Here is a 14910-nt window from a genome sequence, read left to right as displayed (position 1 = left end):
GGTAGGCATTTCGCAGCCACCCCACAGGTGCCCCAACAGTCACAGGGTTTATGAGCAAAGGAGAGGATCAGGAGAGCTGGAGGATGGGGGGAAAGGACTCCTGTTTCTTTAGGCAAGTCATTTCCCCTCTCGGGGCCTCCTTTCCCCTTCTAGTAAATGGAACAATGAGTCATTCTCGCAACAAATACTTATTGAGTGCAGACCATGTGCTGGACACAGCAGGGAATAAGACAGAAGAGGACAGAAGAGGCCTCTGCTCTCAGGAGCTTACATTCTGGATAGGAACACAGACAATAAACAAAAGAACAAGAAAATTTCCTAAATGCTGAAATGAAAATAAAGCAAGGCAATAAGATAGAAAGGTGAAGTAAATGAGAGCCAAGTCCCTTTGCAGGCCACACTGTTCAAACCCGAGTTTTTTTTTTCTTTTTTTTGAGACGGAGTTTTTGCTCTTGTTGCCCAGGCTTGAGTGCAATGGCACGATCTCGGCTCACTGCAACCTCTGCCTCCCGGGTTCAAGCGATTCTCCTGCCTCAGCCTCCCGAGTAGCTGGGATTACAGGCATGCGCCACCACGCCTGGCTAATTTTGTATTTTTAGTAGAGACAGGGTTTCACCATGTTGGCCAGGCTGGTCTTGAACTCCTGACCTCAGGCGATCTGCCTGCCTCAGCCTCCCAAAATGCTGGGATTACAGGGGTGAACCACTGCGCCTGGCCAACCCCAAGAGTCTTTCACTGGAACTTTGTATCTAAGAGACTGGACATACAGCCCCTTACCCTGAGAAGGTGAGTTGTAGGAGCCTTTGCTCGATATATATATATATATTTTTAAGACAGAGTTTCACTCATTGCCCAGGCTGGAGTGCAATGGCGCCATTTCAGCTCACTGCAACCTCCACCTCCTGGGTTCAAGCAATCAAGCGATTCTCCTGCCTCAGCCTCCCAAGTAGCTGGGATTACAGGACCCGCCACCACCCCCAGCTAATTTTTTTGTATTTTTACTAGAGACAGGGTTTCACCATGTTGGCCAGGCTGGTCTCAAACTCCTGACCCCAGGTGATCCACCCACCTAAGCCTCCCAAAGTGCTGGAATTACAGGCATGAGCCACTGCGCCCAGCCTTTGCCCTGATTCTCCCTGCACTGGCTACCACTGATACAAGAAGAAATGTTCCCAGATTCTTTGCCTCCAGCTACACAGTCCTAGTTCCTAGCCCCAATCCTAGCGTCATACATTGGACGAAACTTGGCCCTGCCCACCCATGTAGGCATAGGCCTGCTGTACAAACTGCTCAGGGCAGAAGGCATCTCACACTAATTTCAATTGAGTAAGCAAGGATTTGAAAAAAGAAAATCCCAGTTCTGGTTTTTAAATGTCACAATTCATAGGCTTATACATCTGTCAAAACTTAGAAAATTACATTTAAGATCTGTGGATTGCAATGTATGTAGATTTTGCCTGAAAAGAAAAAAAAAATTGCAAACCAAAAATGAACTCTAGTTATTGAAATGCATACTGAAGTATTTAGGGGGAGGTGTACTGATGTCTGCAACTTACTTTGAAATATATGAAAAATACGATGGATTGACATAGAGGAATGGATAGATGAACAGATGTGTGATATAGTAAGATGCTAATGGTAGAATCCAGTGGTAGTTACACAAATGTTCACTGTAAAATTATTTCTACCTGGCTGTATGTTTGAAAGTTTTTATAATAAACTGTGGAGGTGGGGGGCAAATCAGTGATTAACTTTACAAAAAAGTATACAAAACTGCCTTTTTAAAGCAACTCTCCCCATAGACAATTCCAATGCTTCTCTACATGCACACACACCTTTTATAAAGTTGAAATCACTGTTGATATACATTTGTCATCAGTTAAAAGTTATTTCTCACATATTTCTAAAACTTCATATGTACAGTGTTTGTTTACATAGCCTATGAGTAAATATACTGTATGTTACTTTGGAGATGTGGGTTTTGTATTGTGTACATTCTAAAAGCACTGGTCAAGCCTCCCTTTCCAGAGAGGAAAACTGGGTTGTTTGATAGCAATCCTTTTTCATTGAGAACTCGAAAAGCTGGGAAAACATTTTTTAAAGGCATCAAAGAGCTACCAGGGCAGTGAGGAATTGTGGGGCCAAGACTGGGGACAAAAAAAAAAAAAAAAAAAAAAAAAAAAAAGCCCAGAATGATGAGCCCAGCATTGGGGATTATTTCCTTTCCTCTTGTCTGCTGATTCCAAAAGGGAAAGCTGATGGGCTGTGCCAGATTGTGATTCCAAAACCTAGCCACAGTATTTCCAGAACTTTGCTACTCCCTATCAGGAGGTGGAGTCCAGGCCAGGTTCAGTGGTTCATGCTGTAACCCCAGCACTTTGAGATGCTGAGGAGGGAGGACTGCTTGAGCTCAGGAGTTTAAAACCAGCTTGGGCAACATAAGGAGACCCCCGAGACCCCATCTCTACCACGCAAAAAAAAAAAAAAAAAAAAGAGGTGGAGTCTATTTCCCCTTGAAATTGGTGGGGTGGGCCTGTATTACTGCTGTGACAAATACTCTAGCAGATGTGACACCACGTAACTTCCAAATCTAGGTTAGGAAGGCAGTCCAGATTCTACCTGGCACCCTCTTGGGATGCTTGTCCTTGGGACCCAGCCACCATGTTGCAGGTGTTCTGGCAGACCACCCCAGCTAAGGTCCCAGTGAAGAACCAGCGTCACTCACCAAGTGTGTGAGTTAGCAAGCTTTCACATGATTTCAGCCCCTAGCTATCAACCTTTTAGTCTTCCAGCTGATGCCTCAGACACTATGAAACAGACACAAACCATCCCTGTTACAACCTGTCCAAATTCTTGACCCACATAATGAATGGCGAGCATGATAGTTATTTTACCATTTGACTTATATCTCCTTGAAGGACTTTCACAAACTTTCATTTACAAGTCAGGTAGGAAAAGGAAAAAAAGAAATACCTTCTCAGGCCCTGAGTCTCTCACTGTCTTTCTAAAAGCATGGTCGGCCCTAGGGGTGTTAAATAGGGAGAGGCCTGAAGCTCCAGTGAGGCCTGCACTCCCTCTGGCTGTGGTTTCCTCCTTGTAGACAAAGTGGGGGCGACAAAGGAAAAGGCAATGCCCTCAGTGTTGGGTGGGGCCCTGGGCATGAAGCCAAGGTGCACTGGAGTGCCAAGGGAAGGCTAGATAGGGAGAGCAGAGGGGGTGCACTGGAGTGCCAACGGAGGGCTAGACAGGGAGAGCAGAGGGGGTGCACTGGAGTGCCAACGGAGGGCTAGACAGGGAGAGCAGAGGGGGTGCACTGGAGTGCCAACGGAAGGCTAGATAGAGAGAGCAGAGGGCCCCGCGGGTACTCCTACTGATTGCGGGTCTGGTGTTCATGGTTCTTTTTGGCAGAATTGAAATCTTCCATCCTCCTTCTCTATTTGGCCCAGAGACAACTTGGAATTGCTCACCACAGTTCAGTGGGCAAGAGTTCCAAAGGCCACCACCCCCTGACCCCTATGGCCCGCAGGCCACACACTTCTCATTAGTCCTCCAATCACCACTGCAGTGCAAATTGGGGCCTTGCCTCAGGCTCCCTTCTCACAGAGGGCCCGATTCCAGTTCCAGCTTGCACTTGGCCCGGGGTTTCAAATCCCTGTTTTGCCACATATTTGTTATTATCGAACTCCCTGGTCCTCAATCTCCTTTCTGTAAAGTGGGGTGATGTTACCTCACAGGGCTGTCACGAGGAATAAAGGAAGTACAGGCAGCAAAAGTGTTTAGCGTGGTTCTTGCGTGTTTACACGCACACACACAGAATGCTTTACAGTATGTTCTTGGTGAGCTGGTGCTTAAGTTTTGTGCCATCTCTCCCTATAATCTTCCTAGGAGCTGTGAGATAGAGAAAGCTTTCCTTGGTAACTGTGGAGAGGACACGTTTCTTGCGAGTATGGCTGGAGAAGCCCCCACCTCCGGTCCCAACACAACGGAACACATGGAGTTTTGCTGTGGTGTCTGGAGGATCCTGTCTTGAGCTTGCCTTTGCTTAGGCTGGACTGTGTAAGACAAGCACTGTGAAGTGTTCCAACTTTATTTAAAACCAGACAGCCCTGCTACCATGCCCCCGCTCCTCAGCATTGCTCTAGGGGAGGAGCTGGATGAACTATGGCCCTTCTGCCAAGCCCAGGTGCTAGGGGAGGAACCCCTTGCTTGAGATGTACAGGATGGACTCCTCACTTCTTCTGGGCTTGTGCCCTGGCCCGTTGAATCTTGTCAGCTGTGGCCCCATCTGTGGCTCCCGTGCAGTGGGACAATACGAGGCTCAGCTCAGCCTCATTCCGGTGTTCGATGGCCACATCTGCAGCCTGAGCCACATCGCTGTGGTTTGAGCAAGAGAGGAGGTGGTGTTGGGGCTGCTCAAGGGCACAAACCCTGCCTCTCACCAGCCCACAGCTCAGCCACCCAGCACCCACAGGCCCTCAGTTGACGCACCCAACAAGAAGCAAAGCCTTGACCTTCTGCTCGGGACCCACGCGGGAAGCATACTTCTTGGCTTCGTATTTGTTATGTTGTTTCATGCAGATCTCCACAAAAGGCTTGGAGGAGAGGAAGCGGGTGGAGGGAGAAGGTAATGCACAGCCCTCCTGTCCTCTCTCTTACGAGCAGAGGCGCAATGCATACATCGTCCATATATATTCTATATGTATACACCCGTCAGTACATATAATCCCCCAACCCCCATGCACAGACAGTTGTGATCTCAACATTCTTAGGGCAGAAATCACCTAAACCAAAGCTCTGTCAGAGACTTGAGACCAATTATTTCCACGCTTCTGCTCTACCACCCACCATTACCCCTTGCAACAGGCGTTCCTGCCACCAGCCCTCACATTTCCTGTGTTCTCTTGTGATTGACATTCTCAAACCTGCCCTATACACCTCTGAACTACCCACCACAGAAAACAGCCCTCAGTATCTCCACTGCCTCCCATATGCACCCTCCCTGTGCCCCCTCCACCCTCCTCAGACAAGACTTTCCCTCTAGCACATAGTGCCCCCTGTGGCCCTCCCTGGGGAAAGCAGCTCATTCTCTCTCCCCGTAACATCTGCAGGCAAACTTGGACCCATCCTCCAGTGCACCCAACACAGCAGATGATGCCTGCCCACAAATGTGTATACAGGAAGCACTCGCTAACTATGCGGGCAGCTGAACAGGAGCATGAACGGGCCATCCTATCTGTCTCCCTGCCTAGCCCTCTCTCCCGAAGACTACCCTCACTGGAAGTGGGCTGGAGGGAGGACCCTGCCTCACCAGGTAGCCAATGGGTGATTTCTTGCTCTTGGAAAACTTCTCTAGCTCTTCCCAATCTTCCAAATCTGCCAGGGCAGTCAGCTTCAGCCACCAGAGCCTGCAGGAAAGCTGGGCTTGGAGGTGTTGCAGGAGAGGCAGGTGGTCCTGGGACCCACATGCAGCCTGGGCCCTCACCTACCTCTTGTCAGGGATGCGGAAGTCACGTGCCAGCTGCTCTGCACGCTTGTTGTGACCGCCAAGAATGAGGGTGGTAACTGTGTCATGTAGAGACAGGTCTAGGAACTGGCCCCCCAGCTCGTCTTCTAGGCGCCGCTGCAGCCGTAGGAGCCGCATTTGATCCTCTGTAGCCTGGGGACCCGGATAATGAGGCATGATGGGGATGAGGGACCAGGAGGGAAGACCAGGAGACGAGGAGGCTCTTGGAAAAAGGTGGGCCAAACCTTGGCTGCAAACTCATTCTTGGCCTTGTAGAAGGCATCGGCGGCTGTCTGCAGAGCTGCTACTCGCCCCTCAATACGCTATAAAGACAAGAAGGAAGGCCTGAACTCACAGCATGCAGGACCCTCGCCCTCCTCACCCAGGCTACAGTCTTCTCCCCCATCCCTGTGCCCAGGGTCGCCAGGGTCAGCCTTGCCTGCTAGGTGCACCACTCTGATGTCCTAGAGGGATGGCTAGCTCCTCTGACACTAACCCCCATCCTGGCCTCACGTCAGAGTCTCCCTCACAGTGAGGACCAGATGGAGTGTGCACCCAACACGAAGGCCTAGATTCCTGAAGGAACCGGACCAACAGCCCCAGCCCACATGCCCCACACGCCCCACACGCCCCATGGATCTCAGACCTCTTCTGCAGCATAGCTGGCTCGGATGTGGAAGCTGCCCAATTCCTGGTGATTGTCATCCTGATTGTAAAGGTCCTTCAGCGTCTCTAGCTCCTGATGCTTACAGAACTGGGGCCACAGGCAGGCAATCAGTCAGCAAGGCCAACTCAAGTGCTCAGAAGGCTACACCACAACCCTGCCCACTACACACACCTGTCGGTACAAACTGAGGGCCATGGGCTGATTCCGAAGGGTCATGAAAAAATCTCCTCGGTTCAGCTCGTTCTTCAGGTGCAGCAACACCGTGAACACTGCAGGAGAGTAAGGTGGAGTGGGAATTCCAGCCAGGCTCCCACTTAGCCCAGGGGCCCCCCAGCCTTGCCCTCACCCAGGTCAGTGTCCCCGCTCTCGATGGCCTTGCTTAGTGCCAGTTTGCTCCTCTTCATCTTTAGGAGAAGGGGTACCTGCTCCCCTGAGCGTGGCTCATACTCCAGCAGCTGTGAGGTGAGAAGGAAGGCACAGAGAGAAGGAGCTGGCATGGGGGCCCTGAACAACCACATCAGAGTGTCTGTGGAGGGCTGGGCACCCACACCTTGATGGCCAGCTCCGTGCGGCCACAACCATAGGCTCGTGCAGCAATGTCGGAGTAAGAGACACCAGGCGTGTCCCCCAGCTTCTGGTTAATGGCTCGAGCCACATCCTCATCTGAGACATCCTTCTGTTGCACCTGCAAGGGATGCGGGGTGTCACAAACATCTGGATGCCATTCCTCACTCTCCACTCCTGCAAGCCCTTAGGACCCACCCCTTCAGTTCCCTTCCTCCCTCCCTTCCTTCTTCTTTCTTTCTTTCTCTCTTTCTTCTTTCTCTCTCTTTCCCTCCTCCTCCGCCCCCGCCACTTCTTTCTTTTTTTTTGAGACAGAGTCTTGCTCTGTCGCCCAGGCTGGAGTGCAGCAGTGCAATCTCAGCTCACTGCAACCTCTGCCTCCCAGGTGAAAGCAATTCTCCTGCCTCAGCCTCCCGGGTAGCTGGGATTACAGGCATGCGCCACCGTGCCCGGCTAATTTTGTATTTTTAGTAGAGACGGGGTTTCACCATGTTAGCCAGGCTAGTCTCGAATACCTGACCTCAGGTGATTCGCCCGCCTCAGCCTCCCAAAGTGTTGGGATTACAGGCATGAGCCACCGTGCCCAGCGCAGTTCTACACTTTCTATTTCCTCCACCTCACCAGGGCCTGGAATCCTCTAAATGCCCTTGGACCCCATCCCACATCCTTGCCTTGTAGCAGGCCCAGTGGGCCAGGATCCTGCTGACGCCCTGTACTTCAGGAAGGCGCAAGTACTCGCATATCTGGATGGCCAGGGGGTAAAGTCTCCGCAACACGAGCCTGGTAGACCCGGTGGGTAAAGGATACAAGGAGTGAGGTGGAGGAGAAAGGGAGCAGAGTGGCCTCAGCCTGCACATCAGGCCTCCCACATCCTAGATAGGTCAGGAGCAGTGACCATAAGACCCCACCCAAGGCTGTAATGCCCACCCCCCTGACAGCCCGCTCACTGCACCCTTGGGCTTACCCTACCTGTCCAGCAGCACCTGGATGGTGAGCTGCTTATATCTGTATTTTCCTCGGTTAAGGATCCAGTTGGAGAATAAGCCCCGCTTGCCAGGTACCTGCAGACGCATCTCCAGCCCCTTCCCCTGCCACCCCTGGCTGTAGGGTACCCTTCTGGCGTGCACAGGGATACTGGCTATAGGTGAGCGGGATCCCGATGTGATAGTCCCGAACAGCATTGAGCACACGCAGGTCCTGACACATGTGCACGAAGCTGTCGGGTGGAAATCTGTCCAGGAAACACTTTCCGAAGGAGGCGGCCTGAGAAGAGCCAGAGGGCGATAGGAGAGAGCTTCCCTGCTGCCCATCCCACCCCCTCCCAGCCCCACCCTCCCCGGCCCGGCCATCCAGGCCAACCCTGAGCAGACTCTTCTGCATGTCTGGCTGGTGCTCATGTCCTGCAGCCTCAATGCACTGCTGCACGGCCTGGGTCAGCTGGCCCAGCTCCTGGATCTCCCGCAGGTACTCGTCCGCCTTCTGGCTCTCTTTCTGGTGGGGAGCAGTCCAGAGCCAGGGCATCATGACAGAGAACACTCCCACATCTGGCCCCTAACCATTCTGGGTTGTGGTTCAAATAAGCTGGGTTGGAGGAGCTGCACAGGCTGGAGCCCCAACTCCCTCAGCCCACTCAATCCACCTGAGGTGCCCACAGACATCATCTCGTATCAGCCCACAGCTGCCTTTAGGGGGGCCTTGAGAACTCCTCCCAATAGTAACCCAGACTGGGTGGGGATAGTGGGGATGCTCTGCCCGTCCCTATCACACCACATGGAGGACATAGTGTCTCTTCAGTTTACATGAGCCAGCCCTCCCCAGCCCAGACCAGTGTCCTGCCTGGACCCCTCTCTTGACAGGTGGCACCTGGCTATGCTCACACATGCCCACGCAGGGGCAGGAGGAACCATTCTGGGACTGGGAGAGAAGCCCAGGGCTTTACCTCATACTCCTTCTGAGCCTCCAGGAGCAGCGCCCCGGGGGCCATTGAGGCAATTTTGAAGATTTCCTCGCTGGCCGCTGGGGAAGGGAGTTGGTGAGTGAGGGAGAAAGGCAGGGAAACCCTCAGCCCTGCCTCAACACCCTATTCCTGCTCTGTGGCACTGGCCCAGGGCAGCTGGGGTGCCGAGGAGTCCCCACCTTGGGTTATGTGGTGCCCTTGTGAAGGCCTCACCTGGAACCTCATGCAGGAACTCGTGGGTGCTGCGGGAGAAGATGCGGACCCCATCGAGCTCAGGCACCAGGTAGGAGTCCTCATCCAGCACAAACCTGAGCTTGGTTAAGGCTCCTAAGAGCACCTACAGATGGGACGGGGCAGGTGAACCCTCCCCTCCCCTCTCTCCACACACAGGCAGCCCTCCAAGGATACTGGATGCTCTCGGGTGCATCGCCCACCACCATCAGCCGCCTTTCCCAGGCCACCACCACGGCCCTCTCCTTGCTACGAGGACGGCTGCACCTGTGAGCAGCATATACACACTGGCTAGACACTGTCCCATGGCCATGTCTCCCACATGGCTGCTCATAATCCTTTGTCTCGGGACAGCCTGTATACACTTGCATCACTGACTGTACACTGACCTCTCCACTTCCCTCTTATCCCTGAGCTCTCAGCTCAAGGCAGCTGTGGCCCACAGAGGACAATGGTTTCCTTCAAGTGTGCAATGGCAGAGAAGGTAAGATCCAAACTCCACTAGGCTTGGCCAGTAGACATGACGAATCAAGGAACTGATTGTCCCAGGAAGCAAGCTATGTCTCACCCACACCCCCAGCAATAACACCCCCATCCTTACCAGACCATCTGCTTTGGAGGTGCCCGGATGTTGCAGTTGAACTCACATAGCTTCTCCTGAAATGGTGTGGGCAATGTCATGGCCCTGTCCCAGCAGTCACCATTCTAGTCGAAAAGCCCTCCCGCATCACCAAAAGATCTTGTACCCTGGACAAGGCACAGTACCCCTGTGTTGCCCCAGGATCATACCTTGAGTGATGCTGTCCCCATCCAGATGTAGCCTGTGTCTGTGAAGAGTGCCAGGTGTCGGTAGGTGAAGGAGACAGCCATCTGTAGGAAGCTGCTTACTCCTGGGGCCAGGCCAGGGGGCGTCTGAGGCAGAGCCAGGGTAGGGGTGGGACAGATACATACTGACTTTTCAGAACCTCCCTATTGCCTAACCCAGCCCGTCCACTTCATTCCCACTCAGGGCCCTTACCACTGCGGAGCAGGCTGCATGGTCCAAGAGGTAAAGGTCAGGCCCCACAGCCAGAAGAATGTGTGCCACTCGGTCCTGGCACAGCACAGTCCAGCAGGAGGGTGCACTTTGCAGACCTATGGCCAGGGAAAAGGACAGTGTTAGGATGACCAAGGCCCACCGTTTCTGTTTCTATGGGTCTCTAGCCACAGCTTCTGTTTTTATGGGTCTCACAGGCTAGAGGCACATCTGTGGGTACTGCTTGGCTATCTCAGCGGTGTCAGGGCTTACCTGGCACCTCTGGCATCCGGCGGAGTTTGAGGTCACCCACATTGGCACTGAGGGTGAAGCGGTGGGCCCCTGTGAGGATGGCCACTCCGGAACCAAACTCAGTGTGAAAGATCCGGGCATCCAGAACCCGGTTCTGGAGCACTTCCTGAGGAAAGGGGGCCATGGGTTAAGGGAGCCACAGGGTCATAAACTCTACCCCGCGTCCCCAGCCCTCTGTGACCCCTACATTGCCCATGCTGAAGTGTCTCCGGAAGTCACCATGAAGCCCATAAACCAGTACAGCACCATCTTCCTGCACACAGAGCAGCTCCTCCTCAGCTGACCAGCCCAGGGACACCACGGGTCCACTCTTCCACTGCAGGGGAGAGAGGTTCCTAAGGCTGTCCTCAGGTGAGGAAACCCTGTCCAGCCCTGAGCCCCAGGGACCATCAGAAGTGCTCACCAGCAGGCTGGCCAGAGGCATGCCGGAAGCAGAGTATATATCGAGCACTGGCCTCACACTAGCAGCTTTCTCCTTCCGCCAGGGGTTCCTCAGCAGTGCTGCAGTTTGAGAAGAGACCTTCTGTCCTAGCTCCCTAGGCCCACCCCATGTGAAGCAGGCCTCACATCCTGGCTCCCCAGGCCCACCCCATGTGAAGCAGGCCTATAAAAACCAGAAGTAAAAGCATCTCAGCAGGGTGAGTGGGGGGTGGCAACAAGAACAACCTGACAGCAGGGCCCCAGGAATCAAGGACCTTGAGTTCATCCCAGGGTCCCAGAGCAGGTGGTGGTGGAGGGGCAACATACCAATGGGGCCCCCATAGGGTGCAGCAGCCACCAGGCAATCCCTGAGTTCCTCCTTCAGGTCCCAGTCCATGCTGTACAGCTCATATTTCCTGCCCACACAGAGATGAGCAGAAATTAGCCTCATTACCCTGCATCCGTATGGAGTGAACCCCAGAGGAATTCCTAAAGCCTCCATTTGTCTTCCACAAGGCTGTAGAGGAAGTCTCCACTCTCTACCCCCAGAGGGAGGGAGGAGGGTGATGACCAGAAAGTTGGGTGAACTGACCACATGCATGTCTAGGGACAGCAGGCAAGGGAGCAGAGGGTGTTGGCAGGGAAGGATGTGGTTCTTGGGGCAAGTGTCCAAGGATGGCAGGAGCTCTTGAGCCAGGCAGGCTGCGTGGCCAACATCCAAGGCACAAACTGAGATAGAACTAAAGTGAAGTGGCTGGCTCAGGCCAGCTTTAGCAGGAAATGAGACTCTCAGAAAAGGTCTCTCAGAGAAGAAAGCCTTTCTTCTATTTCTAGTCCTTCTTTTTTGAGAGAGGGTCTCAGTGTGTTGCCCAGGCTGAGGTGCAGTGTCACAGTCATGGCTCTTTGCAGCTTCAGGCTCAAGTGATCTTCCCATCTCAGCCTCCTGGGTAGCTGGAACTCCAGGGTGCACTACCACACCTGGCTAATTTCTGTATTTTTTGTAGAGATGGAGTCTCCCCATGTTGCCCAGGCTGGTCTCAAACTCCTGGGCTCAAGCAATCCTCCTACCCTGGCCTCCAAAGTGCTGGTATTACAGATGTGACCTGCAGTGCCTGGCCTATTTCTGGTTCTTAATGAATCAGGGTGTGGGCTTTATACCCAGGGGTTCAGCTCTATGCTTATTGATGATGAACTTAGTTTTAGAGGTACTGAGTTAGCAGTGCCTGAAAGAAATCCAAGAGGAGCTTTTCAGTGAGATGGTGCTGGGAGTCGTCCTGGATTGGGCATGTTAATCTGCCAATGCTTGGCTTATGGCAGGCAACCAAATCACAAATCACAACCAGGCATGAGATGATTGCAATGTGAAATGCTCATGGATCACTGAGTGTGTGCTGCATGGGAAGTTGGAGTAGGGAGCTTGAGGTATGTCATCATACCTCAAGAGTGGGGGAAAAGGGGTAGCAAAAGGGACTAAGAAGGAATGGGCACTATTCCAGGACACCAAGAGAAGACAGTGTTTAAGAAGGGCATTTCAGCCGGTATCATTTCAGGGACCTTCTCATTAATGATCAGGAATATGCCCATCATTACCTACTATTTGACATCCTTGTTGTGGTTCTAGCCAACATAATTTAAGAAAAAAAAATAAAGAGATGTTTATATTTTGATGAAGGAGCAGAGTTGTTTCTATTTGCAAATAATGTGATTGTCTACTTAGAAAATCCAAAGTAAGGAGTGAGGTGGCTCATGCCTGTAATCTGAGCACTTTAGGGGGCCGAAGCAGGCAGACTGCTTGAGCTCAGTGGACCGAGACTGGCCTGGGCAACATGGAGAAACCCTGTCTTTACAAAAAATACAAAAATTAGCTGCATGTGATGGCACATGCCTGTAGTTACAAGTAGCATGCCAGCTACTTGGGGGGCTGAGGCAGGAGGATCGCTTGAACCTGGGAGGTTGAGGCTGCAGTGAGCCAAGACAGCATCACTGCACTCCAGCCTGGGTGACAAAGTGAGACCCTGTCTCAAAAAAAAAAAACCCAAAGTAGTCTAGGGAACAATGAATACGAGACTCTCACAGAGGGCATAGGGTGATCAACAAAAATCAATCTATTTTCTATACCAAGAAATTTTCATACCATAGCAAGAATCGATTGGAAATACAACTTTTTGAGGTGAGGTGGGCAGATCACTTGAAGTCAGGAGTATGAGGCCAGTCTAGCCAACACGGTGAAACCCTGTCTCTACTAAAAATACAAAAATTAGCCAGGCGTGGTGGTGGGCACCTGTAATCCCAGCTACTCGGGAGGCTGAGGCAGGAGAATTGCTTGAGCCCAGGAGGCAGAAGTTACAGTGAGCCAGGATCATGCCACTGCACTCCAGCCTGGGGAGCAAGAGCAAAACTCTATCTCAACAAATAAATAAATAAACAAATAAATAAAATTAAAATAAAAATGCAAAAATTAGCCAGGTGTGGTTGTGGGTGCCTGTAATCCCAGCTACTCAGAAGGCTAAGGCAGGAGAATCACTTGAACCCAGGAGGCAGAGGTTGCAGTGAGCCAAGATTGTGCCACTGCACTCCAGCTGCCTGGGCGACAGAGTGAGACTCCGTCTCAAAAAAAAAAAAAAGAAAGAAATACAACTTTTAAGAGATCCTAATAATTATGGCGATAAAACTGTAAGATATCAAATGATACATCTAATGAAAATTTTACAAAATTAAATATTTTCCAAGGATATAGAAAACATGGAGCAATATCCAAAATGATCTATAAATGTACAGGAATTCCAATAAACACCTTCTGCCAATTATCTGGCCAGTGGAAGGGTAATGCACAAACTGATTCTGAAGTTCAAATGGGGGGCTGGGCGCAGTGGCTCACGCCTATAATCCCAGCACTTTCGGAGGCCAAGGTGGGAAGATCACCTGAGGTCAGGAGTTCGAGACCAGCATGGCCAACATGGTGAAACCCCATCTCTACTAAAAATACAAAATTAGCTGGGCATGGTGGCGCATGCCTGAAATCCCAGCTAGTCAGGAGGCTGAGGCATGAGAATTGCTTGAACCTGGGAGGCAGGGGTTGCAGTGAGCCAAAATTGTGCCACTGCACTCCAGCTTGGGCGACTGAGGGAGACTCTGTCTCAAAAAAAAAAAAAAAGAAAAAGAAAAAGAAAAAAAAGTTCATATAGGGGAAAAAGATCATCTGAAAGAGGAAATACCACAAAATATTTAAGAACATTTTGAAAATATGAGAACAGATGTATACCAGATACACACACTATATAAAATTAATTAAAACTATTATTTTGGCACAGGAATGTGCAAATAGATCAATGGAAGAGGATGGCGTCTAGGAAAAGATCTCAGAATTGAGCAAATAATAAAGCTAGCATTTCAAATTGGTGGAAATTGATACTTGAAACGAGACTATGGGCCATATAGGAAGAACCACAATAAATGCTATTTCATTATTTTACTTCTGTGTTAATATACAGAAAAATGCTCAAGAGACTTCCATACTAAACCAGACACAGTGATTACCTTTGGGGAGGGTGGTAGATGGGGTAGACACCTGCGGAGCTGTCCACTTTTATACTACAAGCATACATCATTTTGTTGCACTTTGCTTTACTGTACTTTTTACAAATTGAAGGTTTGTGGCAACACTGAGTCAAGCAAATCTATCAGCGTCATTTTTCCAACTGCATGTGCTCACTTCATGTCTCTGTGTCACAATTTGGTAATTCTCGCAATATTCCAAACTTTTTCATTATTATTATATCTGATATGGTGATCTGTGATCAGTGATGTTACTACTATAATTGTTTTGGGGTGCCACAAACTGCACCCATACATGATGGTGAGCTTAACGGATAAATGTTGTATGTGTTCTGACTGCTCCACCAACGAGCCGTTCCCCGATCGTCTCTCTCTCTCTCTCTCTTCAGGCCTTCCTATTCCCTGAGACACACAGTGTAGAAATTAGGCTAATTAAAAACCCTCTAACTGTTCAAGTGAAAGAAGAGTGGCAAATCTCTCACTTTAAATCAAAAGCTAGAAACGACTAACCTTAGTGAGGAAGGCACGTTGAAAGCCAAGACAGGACAAAAGCTAGGCCTCGTGTGCCAGTTAGCCAACTTGTGAATGCAAAGGAAAAGTTCTTGAAGGAAATTAAAAGTGCTACTCCAGTGAATACAGGAATGATAAGAAAGCAAAGTAGCCTTTTTGCGGGTAAGGAGAAAGTT

At 50.9% G+C, this 14910-nt stretch overlaps 2 protein-coding genes across 3 annotated transcripts in view, besides 1 other annotated feature; both read right to left on the bottom strand.

The window, feature by feature from the left end:
• The window catches only part of PTPRA (protein tyrosine phosphatase receptor type A), a 174486-nt gene extending 167866 nt beyond the window's left edge, over positions 1–6620 (bottom strand). Inside the window, exons 1-5 of the mRNA NM_002836.4 lie at positions 6517–6620; positions 6342–6439; positions 6150–6257; positions 5749–5826; positions 5487–5656 (exon numbers count right to left, since the gene is read on the bottom strand). The gene's annotated coding sequence lies outside the window, so the exon portion shown is untranslated. The remainder of the gene's footprint in view (positions 1–5486; positions 5657–5748; positions 5827–6149; positions 6258–6341; positions 6440–6516) is intronic.
• The window catches only part of VPS16 (VPS16 core subunit of CORVET and HOPS complexes), a 25988-nt gene continuing 15149 nt past the window's right edge, over positions 4072–14910 (bottom strand). The window contains exons 2-24 of one of the 2 annotated variants that reach the window (NM_022575.4): positions 10997–11085; positions 10653–10750; positions 10437–10565; positions 10211–10355; positions 9941–10056; positions 9712–9834; positions 9524–9579; positions 9100–9189; positions 8905–8999; positions 8674–8750; positions 8094–8225; positions 7870–7997; positions 7704–7739; positions 7406–7514; positions 6721–6855; positions 6517–6625; positions 6342–6439; positions 6150–6257; positions 5749–5826; positions 5487–5656; positions 5309–5405; positions 4489–4592; positions 4072–4374 (exon numbers count right to left, since the gene is read on the bottom strand). In NM_022575.4, the coding sequence (NP_072097.2) occupies positions 4230–4374; positions 4489–4592; positions 5309–5405; positions 5487–5656; positions 5749–5826; positions 6150–6257; positions 6342–6439; positions 6517–6625; positions 6721–6855; positions 7406–7514; positions 7704–7739; positions 7870–7997; positions 8094–8225; positions 8674–8750; positions 8905–8999; positions 9100–9189; positions 9524–9579; positions 9712–9834; positions 9941–10056; positions 10211–10355; positions 10437–10565; positions 10653–10750; positions 10997–11085 (2467 nt within the window). In that variant the 3' untranslated portion in view covers positions 4072–4229. The remainder of the gene's footprint in view (positions 4375–4488; positions 4593–5308; positions 5406–5486; positions 5657–5748; positions 5827–6149; positions 6258–6341; positions 6440–6516; positions 6626–6720; positions 6856–7405; positions 7515–7703; positions 7740–7869; positions 7998–8093; positions 8226–8673; positions 8751–8904; positions 9000–9099; positions 9190–9523; positions 9580–9711; positions 9835–9940; positions 10057–10210; positions 10356–10436; positions 10566–10652; positions 10751–10996; positions 11086–14910) is intronic. The other variant, NM_080413.3, reaches the window with a different exon arrangement.
• Positions 10612–11112: an enhancer, noted in NCBI's record as "H3K27ac hESC enhancer chr20:2840338-2840838 (GRCh37/hg19 assembly coordinates)". NCBI's record gives its function as "activates a minimal SCP1, AML or CMV promoter by ChIP-STARR-seq in naive H9 embryonic stem cells {active_cell/tissue: H9 hESC(naive)}" and the evidence as "EXISTENCE:reporter gene assay evidence [ECO:0000049][PMID:30033119]".

Source organism: Homo sapiens, chromosome 20, assembly GCF_000001405.40.
Source record: "Homo sapiens chromosome 20, GRCh38.p14 Primary Assembly".
In the NCBI taxonomy this organism is placed as follows: domain Eukaryota; kingdom Metazoa; phylum Chordata; class Mammalia; order Primates; family Hominidae; genus Homo; species Homo sapiens.
This window is presented reverse-complemented; position numbering and strand designations above follow the sequence as displayed.